The sequence below is a fragment of the Homo sapiens genome, chromosome 3 (genome assembly GCF_000001405.40).
Source record: "Homo sapiens chromosome 3, GRCh38.p14 Primary Assembly".
Classification (NCBI taxonomy): Eukaryota; Metazoa; Chordata; class Mammalia; order Primates; family Hominidae; genus Homo; species Homo sapiens.
The window spans coordinates 958,488-974,895 of record NC_000003.12 but is presented as its reverse complement, the minus strand read 5'-3'; the positions used below and the strand labels follow the sequence as shown (position 1 = coordinate 974,895).

General features: G+C 38.2%; 1 long non-coding RNA gene across 2 annotated transcripts in view, besides 1 other annotated feature; it reads right to left on the bottom strand.

Annotated features, from left to right (window-relative positions):
* The window catches only part of LOC107986059 (uncharacterized), a 125,190-nt gene that overhangs the window by 28,624 nt on the left and 80,158 nt on the right, over positions 1-16,408 (bottom strand). The window lies entirely within an intron of this gene.
* Positions 14,078-14,578: an enhancer, noted in NCBI's record as "H3K27ac hESC enhancer chr3:1002002-1002502 (GRCh37/hg19 assembly coordinates)". NCBI's record gives its function as "activates a minimal SCP1, AML or CMV promoter by ChIP-STARR-seq in naive H9 embryonic stem cells {active_cell/tissue: H9 hESC(naive)}" and the evidence as "EXISTENCE:reporter gene assay evidence [ECO:0000049][PMID:30033119]".

Here is a 16,408-nt window from a genome sequence, read left to right as displayed (position 1 = left end):
TCCAGGTCTAGGTAGTTTCACATCAATCTTAATACTGTCGGCAATTATTCAGTTTTCCAGGCACGTACTATATTCCAGGCACTGTATTACAGTAGTCCTCTCTTATCTGCAGGAGATACTTCCCAAGACCCCTAGTAAATACCTGAAACCATGGCTAGGACCAAACCCTACATACTACTGTTTCTTTCCTAGATACACATATCTATAATAAAGTTTAATTTATAAATTAGGCCCCAAAAGATATTCACAGCAACTAATAATAAAGTAGAACAATTATAATAATATACTGTAATAAAAGTTATGTAAATGTGGTCTCTTTCTCAAAATATCTTGTTGTAGTTTTTCATCTCTTTTCAGACTGCAGGCAACTGAAAATATGGAAAGCAAAACCGTGGATAAGGGAGGACTACGGTATCTAATCTTCATAGCAATCCTCAAGAAGCAGCTACTAATTTTATTATCACAATTTTACAGATGACTAAATTCAGCTTTGCTAGGAAGTGGTATATTCAGGATTCAAACCGGGCAACTTGACATCCAGGTCCCCACTGTTAATTGATAGATGATTCTATTTGCTAACTCGTCAGTCTGTCTACCCTCTTCATTTGAGGTTTTTTGCTTTTATATTTTACAAATCAGCCTTATAGTTTAATTTTAATTTAAATAAAGCACCTTTTCTTCCCACTCACATATTATACAGCTCGGGAAAGAGACTGTCTTATCAGCATGTGAAAGCTAGGCAGGTATGCACAAATATCTTCTGAGTGACTGAAATAAATGAATATGAATTGTGTGTAACAATGTGCTTGTGCCATGTGTGCATCTTCAAAGTCTAATGTACTTGTTAGATATTGTATACAAGTATTTGCAATCCTTACCATCCCTAAACCTGGAAGGAGTTTCTCCTCCCTTAAACAGCTGTCTCATTTTATGTGCATCACTCATCTAGAATTTTAATATCCTACCTACCATCATAGATATTTGAATGTTTTAGCTACCTTTTAAAAATTATTATCTTCTTAAGTTGAGGGCTGAAGTCATTTTTTATCTTTTCTCCACAATTCTTTAAAAAATCTTGTATGTAATCTGCAAAAATATAAATCTCTGTTGAAGAAATGAATAAACATTTTTAAATTTTATTTATTGATTTATGCAAGACATAATCTCTAGCTTTCATATACATATCCTTCTCATAATCTGGTAAGTTTTCCAGATTGTTTGCTATTGGAAAATCCAAATAACATTTTAATTGGATTTCTGCCTTTGATGCTTAACCTTGGGGCCTATAAAGAGTTGCTCTAATTTTGTGGTTAACTTCCTGCATGTAAATTGTGAATTTGACTCGCTTGAGGTGGTGTAGCAAAATTGGACTGGGGTCACAGTGAGGTTAGGAACATTATCTTCTTCCTTTGAATTTACATTGTTTTAAATTAAGTGACTCTGAATACAAAGAATAATTTGTCAGGATTCAGCTTATATCAAGCTGTGTCTACAAAAAGAAATGAATTTTGCAAACTTGTAGTGGGCTACAGAGCCATATGTCCTTTAACTTTTTCTTCAGCTTTTTTATCTAGCCATGCTTTCCTTCCTTTCTTTTTTTTTAACACTGTCTTCTGTACTTTTTTTTCTACATAGTTCTAAAACTTTTGCTTAACAATACTTATAATCTCATATCATACTTTTTATTAACATATTTTCAGGCAGAGTTTAATTTTAATTACTTCTGATACTCTGCCCTGATTATCTAACAAAGAAAATTTAAGAGGGACTAAGGATGTGATGCCTCAGTACATTACATTCTATTAAGTTTTCCAAAGAAGTATGAAGATTATTATCAGGTTTTTAAGGAGGGAAACACAGAGATGTCACCATGTTGGAAAACATCTACAGCATTTATCTTTAGAACTCACAAACGGCACTTTCTTTTCCACTGATGGTGTGGATCAGAGTACACAACTCTGGGTCAGGCTGTGGGACCTCCTCTTTCTTTCATTAATAATAAGAGCTTTCATGGAAAGTGGTGTACTTATCACATTCCAGAATTATGTATTACATAGACTATCTCATTTAATCTAGTTGATCCATGATATTAACTTCATTTAAAGTAGAAAAAGACAGATGAGAGAGGACTTAAGTCATAAAGGAAATAAGAGTGAAGTTCTAAGACTTTTTGAACTCAGGGTCTAACTTTTATCAGTAAAAATACTTGCACATGCAAAACTGATGGATGGCCAGAATTCAGGCTGGGTGGGGCATGTTTGCAATGAGCTAGTTCAGTTGTCTCATTTGATAAATTAGAATGGATCAGCAAATGCAGATGACTTGCTGAAGTATATTAGTGTTAGTGTCAGTCTAAGTCTCATTGCTAGCTGCACAGAAAGCCAATCACCGAGACAACAAATGTTGCCAGGGAGGAAGGCTTTAATCAGCTGCTGAAGCCACAGGGACAGATCAGTTTCAAATAATCTCCCCAAACAACTAAAGTTGAAGGATTTATATAGTGGGGAAGGGATGTAGCTATGTGTGGAGAGGAATTAGGGAGGGGTAAGGAAGCAATCATGATGGATGAGGGGTCTGGCATTTCATTGTCTGGATGCGGTGATCTGCTGAGTCTCATTCCCTTGCCCCAGAGTTGGTTTCTTAGGAAGGAACTCAGATATGTTTCAAGTTTTAAGATGAGGAAGATCAATTTCTATGTTGATTCAAAAACCTGTAAATATCATTTATATGGGACAATTGGGCTGGTTTCATTAGTAATTGTGTCTGTTATCTAATGCTGTGCAAAAATTTACCTCAAAACTTCCTGGATTGAATCAATAACACTTTATTATATCTAATCATTGGGGAATCAGTGCTGACTCAGCCAGATAGTCCTTCTGCTCCACTTTCTTCTGAGCCTGGAAAGTACAAGATGTGTCTTTATTCACATGAGCAGTACCTCAGCCATAATGGCTGGCCCCACTAGGGGATAGCCAGTCATCTCTCCTTTCCCAGTTGGCTTTTGCATGTGGTTGGCTTGGACTTCCTCACAACATGGCATCTCACTGCCAAGGGAGGATCCTGAAGCCACCATCCCTTTAAAGTCCAGGCCTGGAACTATCACTACTACCATATTCTATTAGTCAGAGCAAATCACAAATGCAGTCTAGATTCAAGGGGAGAGGAAGAAAACCCATCTTTCCATGGAGCAACATGGGAGGAATAAACTTAATTGTGGACATCTTGTGAGACCATCTATCACAATAGGACAACCTAGAAGAACCACATTCCTCATCTTAGTCTGCTTCTGGTTCTCTCTCATCACTTTGCCTCTCCTACATGTATTGCCACAGCATCATAGCTCTGAGAAAAGAAATGGAATTTCTAATGTCTATTCTGTGACCCAAGTTCCCTGCATCTAATGCTTTGTTACGTTATGTATTATGTACACTCAGTATTTTTTGTTAATGTTTACTTATTCTTTTGTACTATTTCTTCTCCTTTCCAGATGATATTTTTAAAAAGCTCATCTTAGGGGAAAGGAGAAGGGTGTACCCTGAAGAATACATGTTAGTTATTACTTCTTGAAAATTTGCTATCTTCCAAGAGAAATGATATGTGATTCTATCATCTATTAGTTTGTGTAACCATCACTGGAAACTAGAGGGATATAATACGGTATTTGCAAGCCAAAGAATTCAGGTCCCTTGTCAAAGTTACACACCAGAAGATAGAATCAGGAAAGAAATCCCAGTCATCTTACCTCCAAGGCCATGGTTGTTTCATATGCCAGGATGCTAAGAAAGTAGACACAGTTTGCACTTTTGAGAAGTTTGGCAATCAAGTGAGGGAAAATAAATAAAGAGGAGGGATAGAACACAGGGGAGAAAATACAAGAGGAGAAGAGAGAGGAGAGGGCAGAAAAGGACTAAGGAGAAAAAATACTTTAGAAGGATTATGATATTAGGGTAGGGAGGCTGAGCATACCTGGAAGCTGATTTGAATCATTAGAAAGAGAGGTGAAAAAACACCAGTAAGAAAATAGGTACCCAAGGGAGTAATGTCCCAGAGGAAACTAGAAGTGAATGCTGCTCTGGCAGAGATGAATGTGTTGGCCTTGGCAGTGAAGATAGGCATTTTTTCCTCCAATACAGTAAAAAAAACAAAATAAAAAGAACAGAGCTAGGAAAGGCCTGGGAACGTTGAGGTGGAAATAAGAGAAATTAGGAGATTATTTGAATGATTAGAAATCTCCTTGAGTACCATTTCAGGGAGAATGTTCAAATTTCGATACACACATAAATGTTTTTACCAAAAGCAAAGAGAAGTCTGAAAAGACGCTCTTGCGTTGTTACTGAAGGGGTGCTGGCATCTTCCCAAAAGAAGAGGAAAGAATAAATACAGCACACAACTCTTATCTCTTTACTCTTAGAACTTCTAGTCTTTACTTTTGAAATAACCCCTAATATCAGAATGAGTAGTCAAATTAGAGTTTAATATTGTTCAGTGTTAAATTCTGCAATTACTTCCTGCCTTCTGAGATTTTTTAAGTAGCAGATTAACAGTCTTCTCAATATCCAAAGCAATAAAGTATGTTTGGGAGTGAAATTAACATCCCTTATTTAGAGTGTGCTGAACAGTAAGAGGTCAAGTTCAATAAGAAAAAAACATCTCATAGATCCTCTAGTGTTACTGAACCCTCTGCAATCTTTTCAATTTTTATGCAAAGCCTCACCCTATCTTAAAGAAAAATCTATGTAACGGGTTGAACAAGGGTTTACTTTTTTATCAGATAAATCTCTTTTTAAAAAGAGCTTAATATTTCATCAGGAAAGACCAAAAAAATAAGCCTCAGGAAATTAGCCATAAAGGCATTAACCAGTCTCTGTGAGAATAGCCTGAAGCAAAGCTTTAGAGATGTCATTCACAAATCTTAACATGGGCTGACATTAATTTTGAGGTGGTTGTTGCTAATATGAATTATGTATAGCAGATTAAACTATATTTATTTGCAATCTTTAAAATGCAAGAGGATGTTTCTCCCTTTGATATATGCACTTGAACCCCCATTCATATTAATCATGCATGCTTTTTCTCTTAAGAGTGGGTGAGAAACACCTAATCACGCATAACCCATTTTTAGTGAGAAGAGGAAGTCTCATGCCTTCTTCATTCCTGATGTTAAACTCTCATTTTATCAAATGTGAGCACCACCATCTTTCCTGGAAAGTTAATGTGTGTCCTCCATCTTTTCAAAGGCCCTACACAGTGCAAAATAATTATTGAGGTTATTGAAGATACGTCAGGAATAATAGCGACATTTTCCTTGGTATGAAAGAACTCAAGAGAACATGGCTAGTAATTAAGGGAGTAGAGTTAGAATCAGACTACCTAGATACAAATTCTGGAATCACCGCTTACTATCTGTGTGACCCAGGGCAAGTCGGTTATTGTTGGTCTCACTTTCCTCACAGACAGATAACAGTGCCAATTGTATAACATTGTCATGAAGATTAAATAAAATGACACATGCAAAGTCATTACCAGAGCACCCAATATTATACATTTTTTGTTATTTTATTATCTCAACCATGTCATATTATTGAGTTTCATCTCTAGTTTTCCCCATGTGAAACAATACAGCTGATTGCAAAATAAAAAGCTCCTGCTCATACAATATCATGTAGCTTGAATGTTATTTTCTCAGTGGGGCTTATCTTATTTAAAATTGAAATGTATACTCTCACGTCTTGACCCAGTACTCCTGAATCCTCCAATCTGTCCTATTTTTTTCCCACCACACTTATTGTCTAACCTGCAATATTTATTTACCCTATTTATTGTCTTCCTCCTTCCACTAGAACATTAGCTCCTCCACAGTGGAATTAGTGTTTATTCCCTAATATATCCCAAGTGCCAAGAATAGTGCCTGAAAAATAGTAAACACTATATAAATATTTGTGTGAAGTAAGGGATAAAAGAAGAGAGGATGGAAGGAATTATATCTGATTCTGCTCAAAATGGAAAGGAAATTTAAAAAAATGAAAGATGGGTATATCAGATATATAAGGTTTCAAATATTTTAAGGAAAAAGTAACATTACAAAAATGTTCCTGGATTAACTTTTTATAGCTTCAACTGTGACAACAAATTCAAAGCTCCTAATAGTAAAAACTTATTCAATAGAAGAAATAATAACTTTGATTATATATATAAAAATTAAACATAAAATTGATGATATGAAGAAAGTCAGAGATGCTGGTTCAGACTCATTTTGCTTTTACATTTGTTCATTTTACAGATGCAATTTTCTGTAAATAAGGGGTCACAGCTATTCAGCAAATGGCTCCCTTAGAAGTGGAACTGGTAGAATAGAGAGGCAGGTCAGCTCATTCTAGTCTCTGAGCTAATGAGCAGAGCCTAGCTAGCACCTCTGATTCCTAGGTCGGGGCATGACATCAATCTCTCTCCATCAACCCAACCATAGGTTTGTTGTACTTCTTAAGGGATGAAGTGAAAGATATTCAAATTATTTGAATAACACTTGAATTGGTCTTGAGGTTGAATCATTTAGGAAGAGGAATATAAAACAATTTTATTTTAAAATGATACCAACAATTCAAATAATTGGGTGTGCCAAAGTCAAGACCATATTTATGCTTCATTTTCTCATTTGCAGTTTAGAAAGAAATTATTAAGTATCCTGAGAAAATAGTATACAAAACCATTGGGGGAGGAGGGTTCTCTATTAGAGATCATTCATTCTATCTAGTTTCTGGAAATCACTAATATGTTACATTCATGAGTAATAAAGTCTAGGCAGTTTCTTTATGCAAAGATGTTCACATGCTTCTTTCTTCACTTTCTAGTTTTTTCTGTCACACCTGCCACCATACCATACCATATATAGAAACACTCTATTTAACCAGTTGTACGATTCCCATATTTATGTAAAGATGTGGGTGAATTTTCATATCATACCACCTGAAAGTCCAGAGAGCAGATATTTAGCATGGCCATACATCCCAGTTTGGTGGGGACTGCCCCAGTTTTTGTCAATATTCCCAGGATACATACTAATAACTCTTTTCCTTCATTTTCAAAAGCCTCTCAGTTTGGATGATGAATGCGGTCATCATCCTAAAGATATTAATGTTCAGATACCAACAAAAGAGGAAAGAAACAGTTTCAAAGAGGACATATACCATAGTATGTTAATCTTCCAGGGACACTACCGATTACTGTAATCACTGGGGGATTAAGAACCTCCAGAAGCCGCCTTCACTCAGAGGTAATCCAGGCACCCACACCCTAATCTGTATTATTGCTACATCATTTAATTAAATTAAATTAAATTTTATTTTTTATTTTTTAGAGATTAGGGGTCTCACTCTGTCACCCAGGCTGGCATGCAGTGGCATGATCAAACTCACTGCAGCCTCAAATTCCTGGGATCAGGCAATTCTCCCATCTGAGCCTCCCAAGTAGTTAGGACTATAGGCATGCACCACCATGCCTGGCAAATTTTTAAAAAATAATTTTTTGTAGAGAAGGGCTTTTGCTATGTTCTGCAGGTTGGTCTCAAACTCCTGACCTCAATTGATCCACTGGCCTTGGCCTCCCAAAGTGCTGGGATGACTGGTGTGAGCCACTGCATTCAGCCTCACTTCTGCATCTTGAAAGTGACATTTAATTAATGGGTCCTAAAGCTTTATTAAAGTCTATTTATATTTAAGATTTGTCTTTGTCCAAAAAGCATGATATTCAAAAAAACTCTGAAACCTTTCTTTTCCAGTCTACTTACAGATTCTTAAACAGAAAAGATGACATCTTACCAGGCATGACTTCTACCACACATGAATCAGTGACTAACTGAATGCTCACTATCTCTGAAAAATTATATTTCCATATCGAAACTACAAAAATCTATTCATAGTAACATATATAGGTGTTTACATAGTTACAATTATTTGAATCCTGATAGAAAAAATAAAGCATATTAACAAGAAGTAAAAAAAATCAGTTTTGCACACAAACATTAAATGTAACTAGTTTATTTCCTCTATGGAAATTACTCCAGGGAGCAGGGGTGACTTTATAGATTTTCTGTAATGTATCCCACTTAAATCACCCTCTCCTCACCTCATTTGACAATCTCTTTCCTTTTTTTAAAAAAAAATAATGATCACCTCCCCCTTTGGTGGCATATTAAAACACAATTAACAAACTAAAAATTAGTTCAAACAAGGTGAACAGTCAGGCATGACAAAATCAGTCTATTGATTGTCGTTTAGCTACCGTTTCGCTCTCAAGCAGTGGGGAGGTGACAAATTGTGGGCCATGAAATCATCAGCCTGCAGGATCATGTCATTTAAATGGGAGGATTACACAAGGTTTGTATCTGCAGAAAATGACACTCCTCTCAAATTACAATTCCGGCTACTCCGGCGGCAGAAACGACCATCATCAATATGAGAACATGTTCAGGATCACGGGAAATGCTGTCCTCCATTTCTCTTCCTTCCCGATACGGCTCTCTGCTCTCCAAAATGAGGTAGCTGAGCTAGTTGCTGGATAGTTTCCTAATGATTAAAGATGCTCACCGTGTTAAACCATACGTTTTGTTGCTTGTATGTTGGGGCTCTAATGAAAAGACAGATACCTCTCTACAGGAGAAACATGTTTAGGCAATGCCCTTTCCCTGGAACCTAATTAAATCAGGATGCTTAAAAGAGTTTTGCTTTTATGATACAAGTGATTTGAGCCCTATTGGCACTGAGTTTAAACACAGCAAGCAAAATATTAGTTTTTGGTCTGCAGTGTATTCATAGCCCTGAGTGTCTCCAACAAGCTTGTCTAGAGGATTTTGTTTATGTGAAAGAAATTGCTGTGATCAATCACTCTGTAGTAAGGATCAAACAAAACGCTGAATCGAGAAATGTTTCTCCATTGGCCCTGTTCAGCTAGAGACCGGAGTACTACAAGTGAGCTGTTATAAATATTCTGCAAGAAAACTACAATTTATGTTCTACATTTTTTTTTTTCAGTTGTTGATGTGAAACCTCAGGTTTCAGGATCATTTTTTTTTCCTTCCAGCTCATATTACGCAGTCTCCGCAGAGCAAAAGGCAATTTCAGTTGCCCAACCTTGGCTGTTATGAGTATTTTAGAAGCTTATATTTTTCTTCAAATAAAAGAAAATCTCTGAAATCCTCAACGTGCATTGCAGAAATGAATTCAATTTATTTTCTTCTCTAAATCCACATGAGGGTAGCCAAAATCATGATCACCATTTCACAAATACATTGGAAAACTGGCAGAGTATTTGGGTTGTAGAAAGCTCTTCAAAGAAATAGCAAAAAGGAGAAAAGAAAACATAACTCTGAGTCCTAATTTCCAGGTATGACAATGAATCATATGGCCACATGCCATTTCAAAACTTATTTCCATGTGTCCCTTTAGGATGTCACAGGGGGAGAGCAGGCTTTTGAAATTACATGGAGTGATAACTTTTGGCTCTTTATTGTGAAGTTAGCAACAACTCTTTGGTATTTTGATTTTATACTTCTCTTTTCCATTTTTTTCAGTTCTCAGCCCCTATCTGGTCAGATACTTGGAAATTTGAGGCCATCTATTATCTCTTCTCATTCGTTTCTGTTGCCCCCATTAGATATTTGCCAATGAATTATTATCTGGTGCCATTACAACCTACCTCAGACCTATCTGTTGTAAAAGCCACTGCTTGATTGTTCATTTCAGAGCACTGTTCTGAATAATATTCTACTTCCTGAAAGCTTTGTGAGCATTTTCATGTAGAATAAATGTCAGCATTCTTATCTAGGCATTCAATGTCTTCCACTGTCTGACTGAAACTGATATTTTTTTCTAGCACTCTTCACTTTTTTTTCAGTTGTTCAGCTAACTCAACACTCCAACCAATTAACCTTTATCCTGTAGCTTTAATAATTTGTTTTCCAGATCCCAAAGTCCCTTTTTAGCCCTTGAACTTGTCCTCCACTTGATTTTTTAAGAGCTCCATTATTACGCCTCCTTTAAACTTCTTCTTAACAGCTTCTACTCCGTGCCATCATTGCCCATGTTTCTAAAGAGAAAGGAGAATATTCTGGTCTTCCATATTCCCATGGCCTATTGCCTGTTACCACACTTATCACTTTTTACATCATATCCAGGAATTTATAGGCATGCTTTAGTGTCCACGAGGCTGCCAGACTAACCATTCCTTAAAGGGAAGCTCCATGTCACATACGTTTTGCATTGCTCTCACTGATAAACAATGATTTACATATTGCTTGTGCACAATAAGGTCTTGCTAAGTGAATTAGAAGTGTTTCACTTTTTTCAATTCTATTGAACTCATCACAACTTATTTGTCATAAGTCCAATTCCCTCATAGAACTCCCTTCTCTCTTAAGAAATTAATAAACATGTTTATAATAAAAAGGTTAATGAGTTAATGTTTTATTCTCACTCCAGGCATCTGCCTTTAGAAAGAGGCTTCTTAGTGACGCTGCCTTGGATTTTTGACAGCTTTTATAACATGGACAGCAATATATATTTTTGTCTTGCTCTGCTGACCTTTTATAATGTTCCATTTAGAGGATTTTTCTTTGCTACTTTGCCCCTGAAATGCTGTGACTCCTGTGCCCTCGAGGACTCAAACTCCCAGCTCTCCTGACCCATATCTTTCCATCTTAATGAACATTTTATAAAGGTCTTCTTCTCACAGTTTAGTTTATCTTGATTAAACCCATTCTGGGGTTCATGTTCCGAACAATTCAGAGAGAGGTTTTTTTTTTCTGTTTGTAACAAAGTGAAATATTAAGAAACGGAATAGACAAATGGACAATAATTAGAGTGCCTATAAAAATAGAACTCTGACTCATAGTCTGCAACAACAGCACAGGCACCTAACCTGCTAGTTACAGTAACCAGGCCACAAGTCGGACCACTTTCTTCAGCAACCAGTCCAGGAAGCCAAACAACAAGCCTTGCCACAACTGGCTCAAAAAGGCCACAATTTAATTGACAGCTTCTCTAATTTTTACCCCACTTCCAACTTAGAGCCAAACAAAGATAGATAAATATGCCCCCCAATCAATCACATGGGGACCCTGTATCTAGTCAGCTCACCTCCAGCTTCCTCCTGCCAATACCCTGTCACCAAGGCACAGCTGAAGCCTTCCTTTTTTATCCACTCTAAGGCTTTTCTACTCCTCTGCCTGACTTTGAGTCTCTGCCCAAACACAAGTGATGGTGGCTGACTTTCTTGCTATAACAAACTCTCAATAAATAGCCTATGTTTTTTCTCATTGGGTTTATTTCCAAAACACACTAGTAATACTGATCGGTTTTGAGAACTTTTCTTCGTGCTCTCCTGGGAGTGCAAGCCTGGTCCTGTTCTTCATCAGTTTTCTAGGGCTATGTTACAAACCACCCCACACTTAGTGTCCTAAAATAATAACTAGTCATCATTTCTCATGATTCTGTGGTTTGGCTGAGTGATTCTTTTGCTGGGCTCACCTGTGCTGCATTCAGAAGGTGGGTTGCTTGGGGACTAGGCTCAACTGGAACTGCTGGGACAGTGGCTATCTGTCTTCATTACTCATTGGGATGGTAATGTCAGGGCAGTGTCCTAAGGCATCAAAAACAAAATCTCCAAGGCCTCTGGGGACCTAGCTCTGGATTGCATACCTTGTCTCTTCTGATAGATTGTATGGTTCAAAGCAAATCACAAATCCAGCCCAGGATCAAGGGAGTGAAATGCCTCTTAACTGAGATATGGTAAAGTCACACTATACAGGGGCATGCACACAGCGATAAGAAATATAATTAGCCAATAAACGTTCTAGCACATGTTTCTATGGCAGTGTTCAGACCACTGTCTCTACTTCTACCATTGACTAAGCAGCACCAGATTCCAAACCACTCCTATCTTTTCTACATATTGTTTTATAAATGCCTCTTTGTCACTTCATCTGTTCCTGTCTGGGCTGTCAATCAAAAGCCATGCCACTCTCAACATTATCCAAGCTATCCAATCAGACTTTCCAAATCTCTTGGAAAAGTAATTGGCCCAGGTGATCATCTGTCACAAGTAGAGCCAATTGGAATTTATTTCTTTCCCTCCCTCTGCCTCCCTCCCTCCCTCCCTTCCTTCCTTCTTTCCTTCCTTCCTTCCTTTCTTTTCTGAACAATAAAAATAATAGTTTCACTCCTCTTCTACACTTATAAATTGTAGCCTAGAGCTGCTGCATGGAGAGATGGGGAAAGGGAGCCATTTTCCCCACTGCTATGGTTTGCATATTTTTCCTCTCCAAAATTCATGTTGAAACTTAATTCTCAATATTGCAGTATTGAGAGGTGAGGCCTTTAAGAGGTAATTAGGTCATGAGGGGTCTGCATTCATGAATGGACTAATCCATTCACTGATTAATGAGTTAATGAGTTATCATGAAAGTGGAACTGGTAGCTTTATACGAAGAGGAAGAGAGACCTGAGCTAGCATGCTCCATCCTTTCTCATGTGAGGTCCTGTGCTTTCTCGGGATTCTGCAGACAGTCCCCACCAGTAAGAAGGTCCTCACCGGATGAGGATCCTTGACCTTAGACTTCTTGTCCTTCATAACTTCAAGAAATAAATTTATTTTCTGTATAAAGTACCCACTTTTAGGTATTCTGTTATAAGCAACAGGAAACTAAGACACACACCACTTAGAGAAAACTGAAAATAACTTTCAGACTCTCCAATTATTTAAGCCAGTAAATTCATTTCCCTCATTCAAGTCTGAGTAAATGTTTACTACACACCACTGAGAAAGTACCCTAATGCAGAGAACATTTTAGTTTGGAAATGGCATTTAGGAAGGACCCTGTTGAATGGGTAGAATTTCTATAGGAAAGAATGGAGAAGAAGTGCATGAATTGAGAGGGGACTGCGTAGAATCAGGCAGTGATGAGATAATCTCATTTGATCAATGCAGATGGAATACAAAGGGGAAGAATGGGAGATAAAGTTGAAAGGTGTTTTAGAATGATGAATGATCTAGAATGCTAAAAAAGAGATTCTGCATTTAATGCAACAGATACTGAAAAGCTGTTGAACATTATTGTATAGAGGAAATCACTCATTGGAAGCCAGGAGTGACTAAAGACAGACTGATCATACAGATGGATGGTAAAGTAAAGGAAAAGGACTCAAGAAAGGTGCTTTTAAATTAGTATCTATCGTGATTGGAAACTCATGTCAGGGATGAGAGTAAAATTGGGCTGGGGTTTTGAGCCTTAGATACTTTAATTAAAGAAAAATGGGGTGTAAAGAAGGAAGAAAAGGAAGGAAGGAAGGAAAGAAGGAAGGAAGGAAGGAAGGAAGGAAAGAAGGAAGGAAGGAAAGAAGGAAGGAAGGAAGGAAGGAAAGAAGGAAGGAAGGAAGGAAGGAAGGAAGGAAGGAAGGAAAGAAGGAAGGAAGGAAGGAAAGAAGGAAGGAAGGAAGGAAGGAAAGAAGGAAGGAAAGAAGGAAGGAAGGAAGGAAGGAAGGAAGGAAGGAAGGAAGGAAGGAAGGAAGGAAGGAAGGAAGGAAGGAAGGAAGGAAGGAAGGAAGGAAGGAAGGAAGGAAGGAAGGAAGGAAGGAAGGAAGGAAGGAAGGAAGGAAGGAAGGAAGGAAGGAAGGAAAGAAGGAAGGAAGGAAGGAAGGAAGGAAGGAAAGAAGGAAGGAAGGAAGGAAGGAAGAAAGGAAAGAAGGAAGGAAGGAAGGAAAGAAGGAAGGAAGGAAGGAAAGAAGGAAGGAAGGAAGGAAGGAAGGAAGGAAGGAAGGAAGGAAGGAAAGAAGGAAGGAAGGAAGGAAAGAAGGAAGGAAGGACGGAAGGAAGGAAGGAAAGAAGGAAGGAAGGAAAGAAGGAAGGAAGGAAGGAAAGAAGGAAGGAAGGAAGGAAAGAAGGAAGGAAGGAAGGAAGGAAAGAAGGAAGGAAGGAAGGAAAGAAGGAAGGAAGGAAAGAAGGAAAGAAGGAAGGAAGGAAAGAAGGAAGGAAGGAAGGAAGGAAGGAAGGACGGAAAGAAGGAAGGAAGGAAGGAAAGAAGGAAGGAAGGAAGGAAGGTAGGAAGGAAGGAAGGAAAGAAAGAAGGAAGGAAGGAAGGAAAGAAGGAAGGAAGGAAAGAAGGAAAGAAGGAAGGAAGGAAGGAAAGAAGGAAGGAAGGAAGGAAAGAAGGAAGGAAGGAAGGAAAGAAGGAAGGAAGGAAGGAAAGAAGGAAGGAAGGAAGGAAGGAAATCTTGTCCCACTTGTGAGCCCCTTAAGAGCAGGCGCCATGGGACTATTTTATTTTTAAGAAGAGAAAATGAAATGACAATCAGGTTTATGATTTGGAAACTTTGTTGGCTTCAGTGGACAGACAAACTGTAAAGAAATGAGATCAAGATCAAGAAGGTTAAGTACCTTGCTCAAGGTCACGCAGCTAGCAGGTGGCAGAGGATAACACACATCCCGAGAGTGTGGCTCCAATTCTAGCCCATCTGAATGTCATTCCACTACCTTTGTAAACAATTCCTGAGTCCTTCTGATATTAAAGTTTTCTTACCCTTAGTGCACATAGTAATAACTCACTTGGATTAACATAATAATTTTCTAACTGATGTCCTTGACTTGAATATTTAGTCTCCAGGAATCCATCTTCCACAGGGATATCATAATGATCTATAAACATACACACACACTAATGCATACAAACACCAAGTCCTCTCATATCACACATTAAAAAAACACACACACACTTCAATGCTTTCCTATCATGCAAAGAAGGTATAAGCTCATTAGCAGATACATACAGAGGTTTAAAATCTGGCTGAATTAGTCCCCTGGGTTGCCATAACAAAGTTTCATGGATTTAGTGGCTTAGACAACAGAAATGTGTTAACTCACAATTATGGAAGTGAAAAGCCCAAAATCAATGTATTGAAAGGGTTGATTCCTTCTGGGGACTATGAGGAAAGGATCTATTCCAGGTCCCTTTGCTTAGCCTGGAAGAAAGATGGTCATCTGTCCCCGTGTGTCTTCAAATCACCCTGCCTCTATACATGTCTGTGCCCAAATTTCCCCTTTTTATAAGGACATCAGTCATATTGAATTTGAACCAATTCTAATGACTTCACATTAACTTAATTATCTCAGTAAAGACTCTATCTCCAAGGAAGGTCACACTCTGAGGTCCTTGGATTTAGGATTTCAGCTTATTAATTTTTTTTGGGGGGGGGCATACAATTAAATACTGACCCAGCCAGACTTTTTGCCCAGTCTCCTACAAGTATCTGCCTTTAACTCTTATTTTAGCAACCCTGAAGTACTTGTAGTCCCCTCACATGACACCACCCCCATCCCCATTCTGTTTATATATCTTGACACCTTAAGCTTTTTGTTTGCCCTATACTACCTTGGCAGTGAGAACTTCATTATCTCCTTGACCTGGTTAACTCTTAAACATTTCTCAGAAGGCTTCCTTGATGCTTCAGCCATTTAAACGCTTCCACAAGGCCCCAGGGTTTGTGTCTACCATAGGATGTCCTACCTCTAGGAGCTGGATGAAAAGGCTGGCATTCATTTGCCAAAATCACAAGTTTGATTTATAAAAGCAAACTAGAGGTCTCCATTTAGCAGAAGTGGTAATGACAGTGATATAACGCCTGGAACCTGGTTGGGCAGTATGGGAGGGAGGTAGAAGGAAAAGTGTGAGATTTCTACCTTTTAGTTTTTATCCTATGGTGGCATATATGAATTCTCAAACATTATCTGAATAAATTTTCCACCCTTGGAAAGGTAGATTTAGCCTCAAGTTGTTTTAGTCTCCAGGAGGCTGCCAGCCCCTCCTCTTATTTAATTCTGAGTTTTGGGGGCCAGCCTAGGGGGAATTCCTTTTTTTTTTTTACTCCCAGGAGGGTAGTTGGGAGTGAGACGGTAGGCCATAAAGAATGGGACTGCATTGCACCAAAATAAATGGGAAAATTGTGGACTGAAAAGAAGCTTTTGGGAAGTGATGAGTCATTCTGCACCAGGTAATAGGGGAAAATTATGTGACCTCCAGCAAACACATGAATGGTTATTTCCTGGAGCCGGAAGCACTTGGAGGTCGTGGTAATTCCCAATGTTTTCTGTGTCCTAGTTTTACCCTTTCTAAACACTGTCCTTTTTGAAAGTTTGAATATATCCACATTCTACTGAAACCTTGAAACTAAAAATTTAGACTCTTATCGTCATCTTAAGCTCTTCATGCTACTTTTAACCTCCCGAAAAGCAGTCTCTAAGTCACATACATGATGTCTCGGGCATTTTCTCTCTCAGCCATGGAGAGCTATGAAAGGAAGAATCGCTGCTTTTCTCAAGCAAATCGGTTTCTTGATGTCTTTTGGTTCTCACTCCTTGCCTGCTC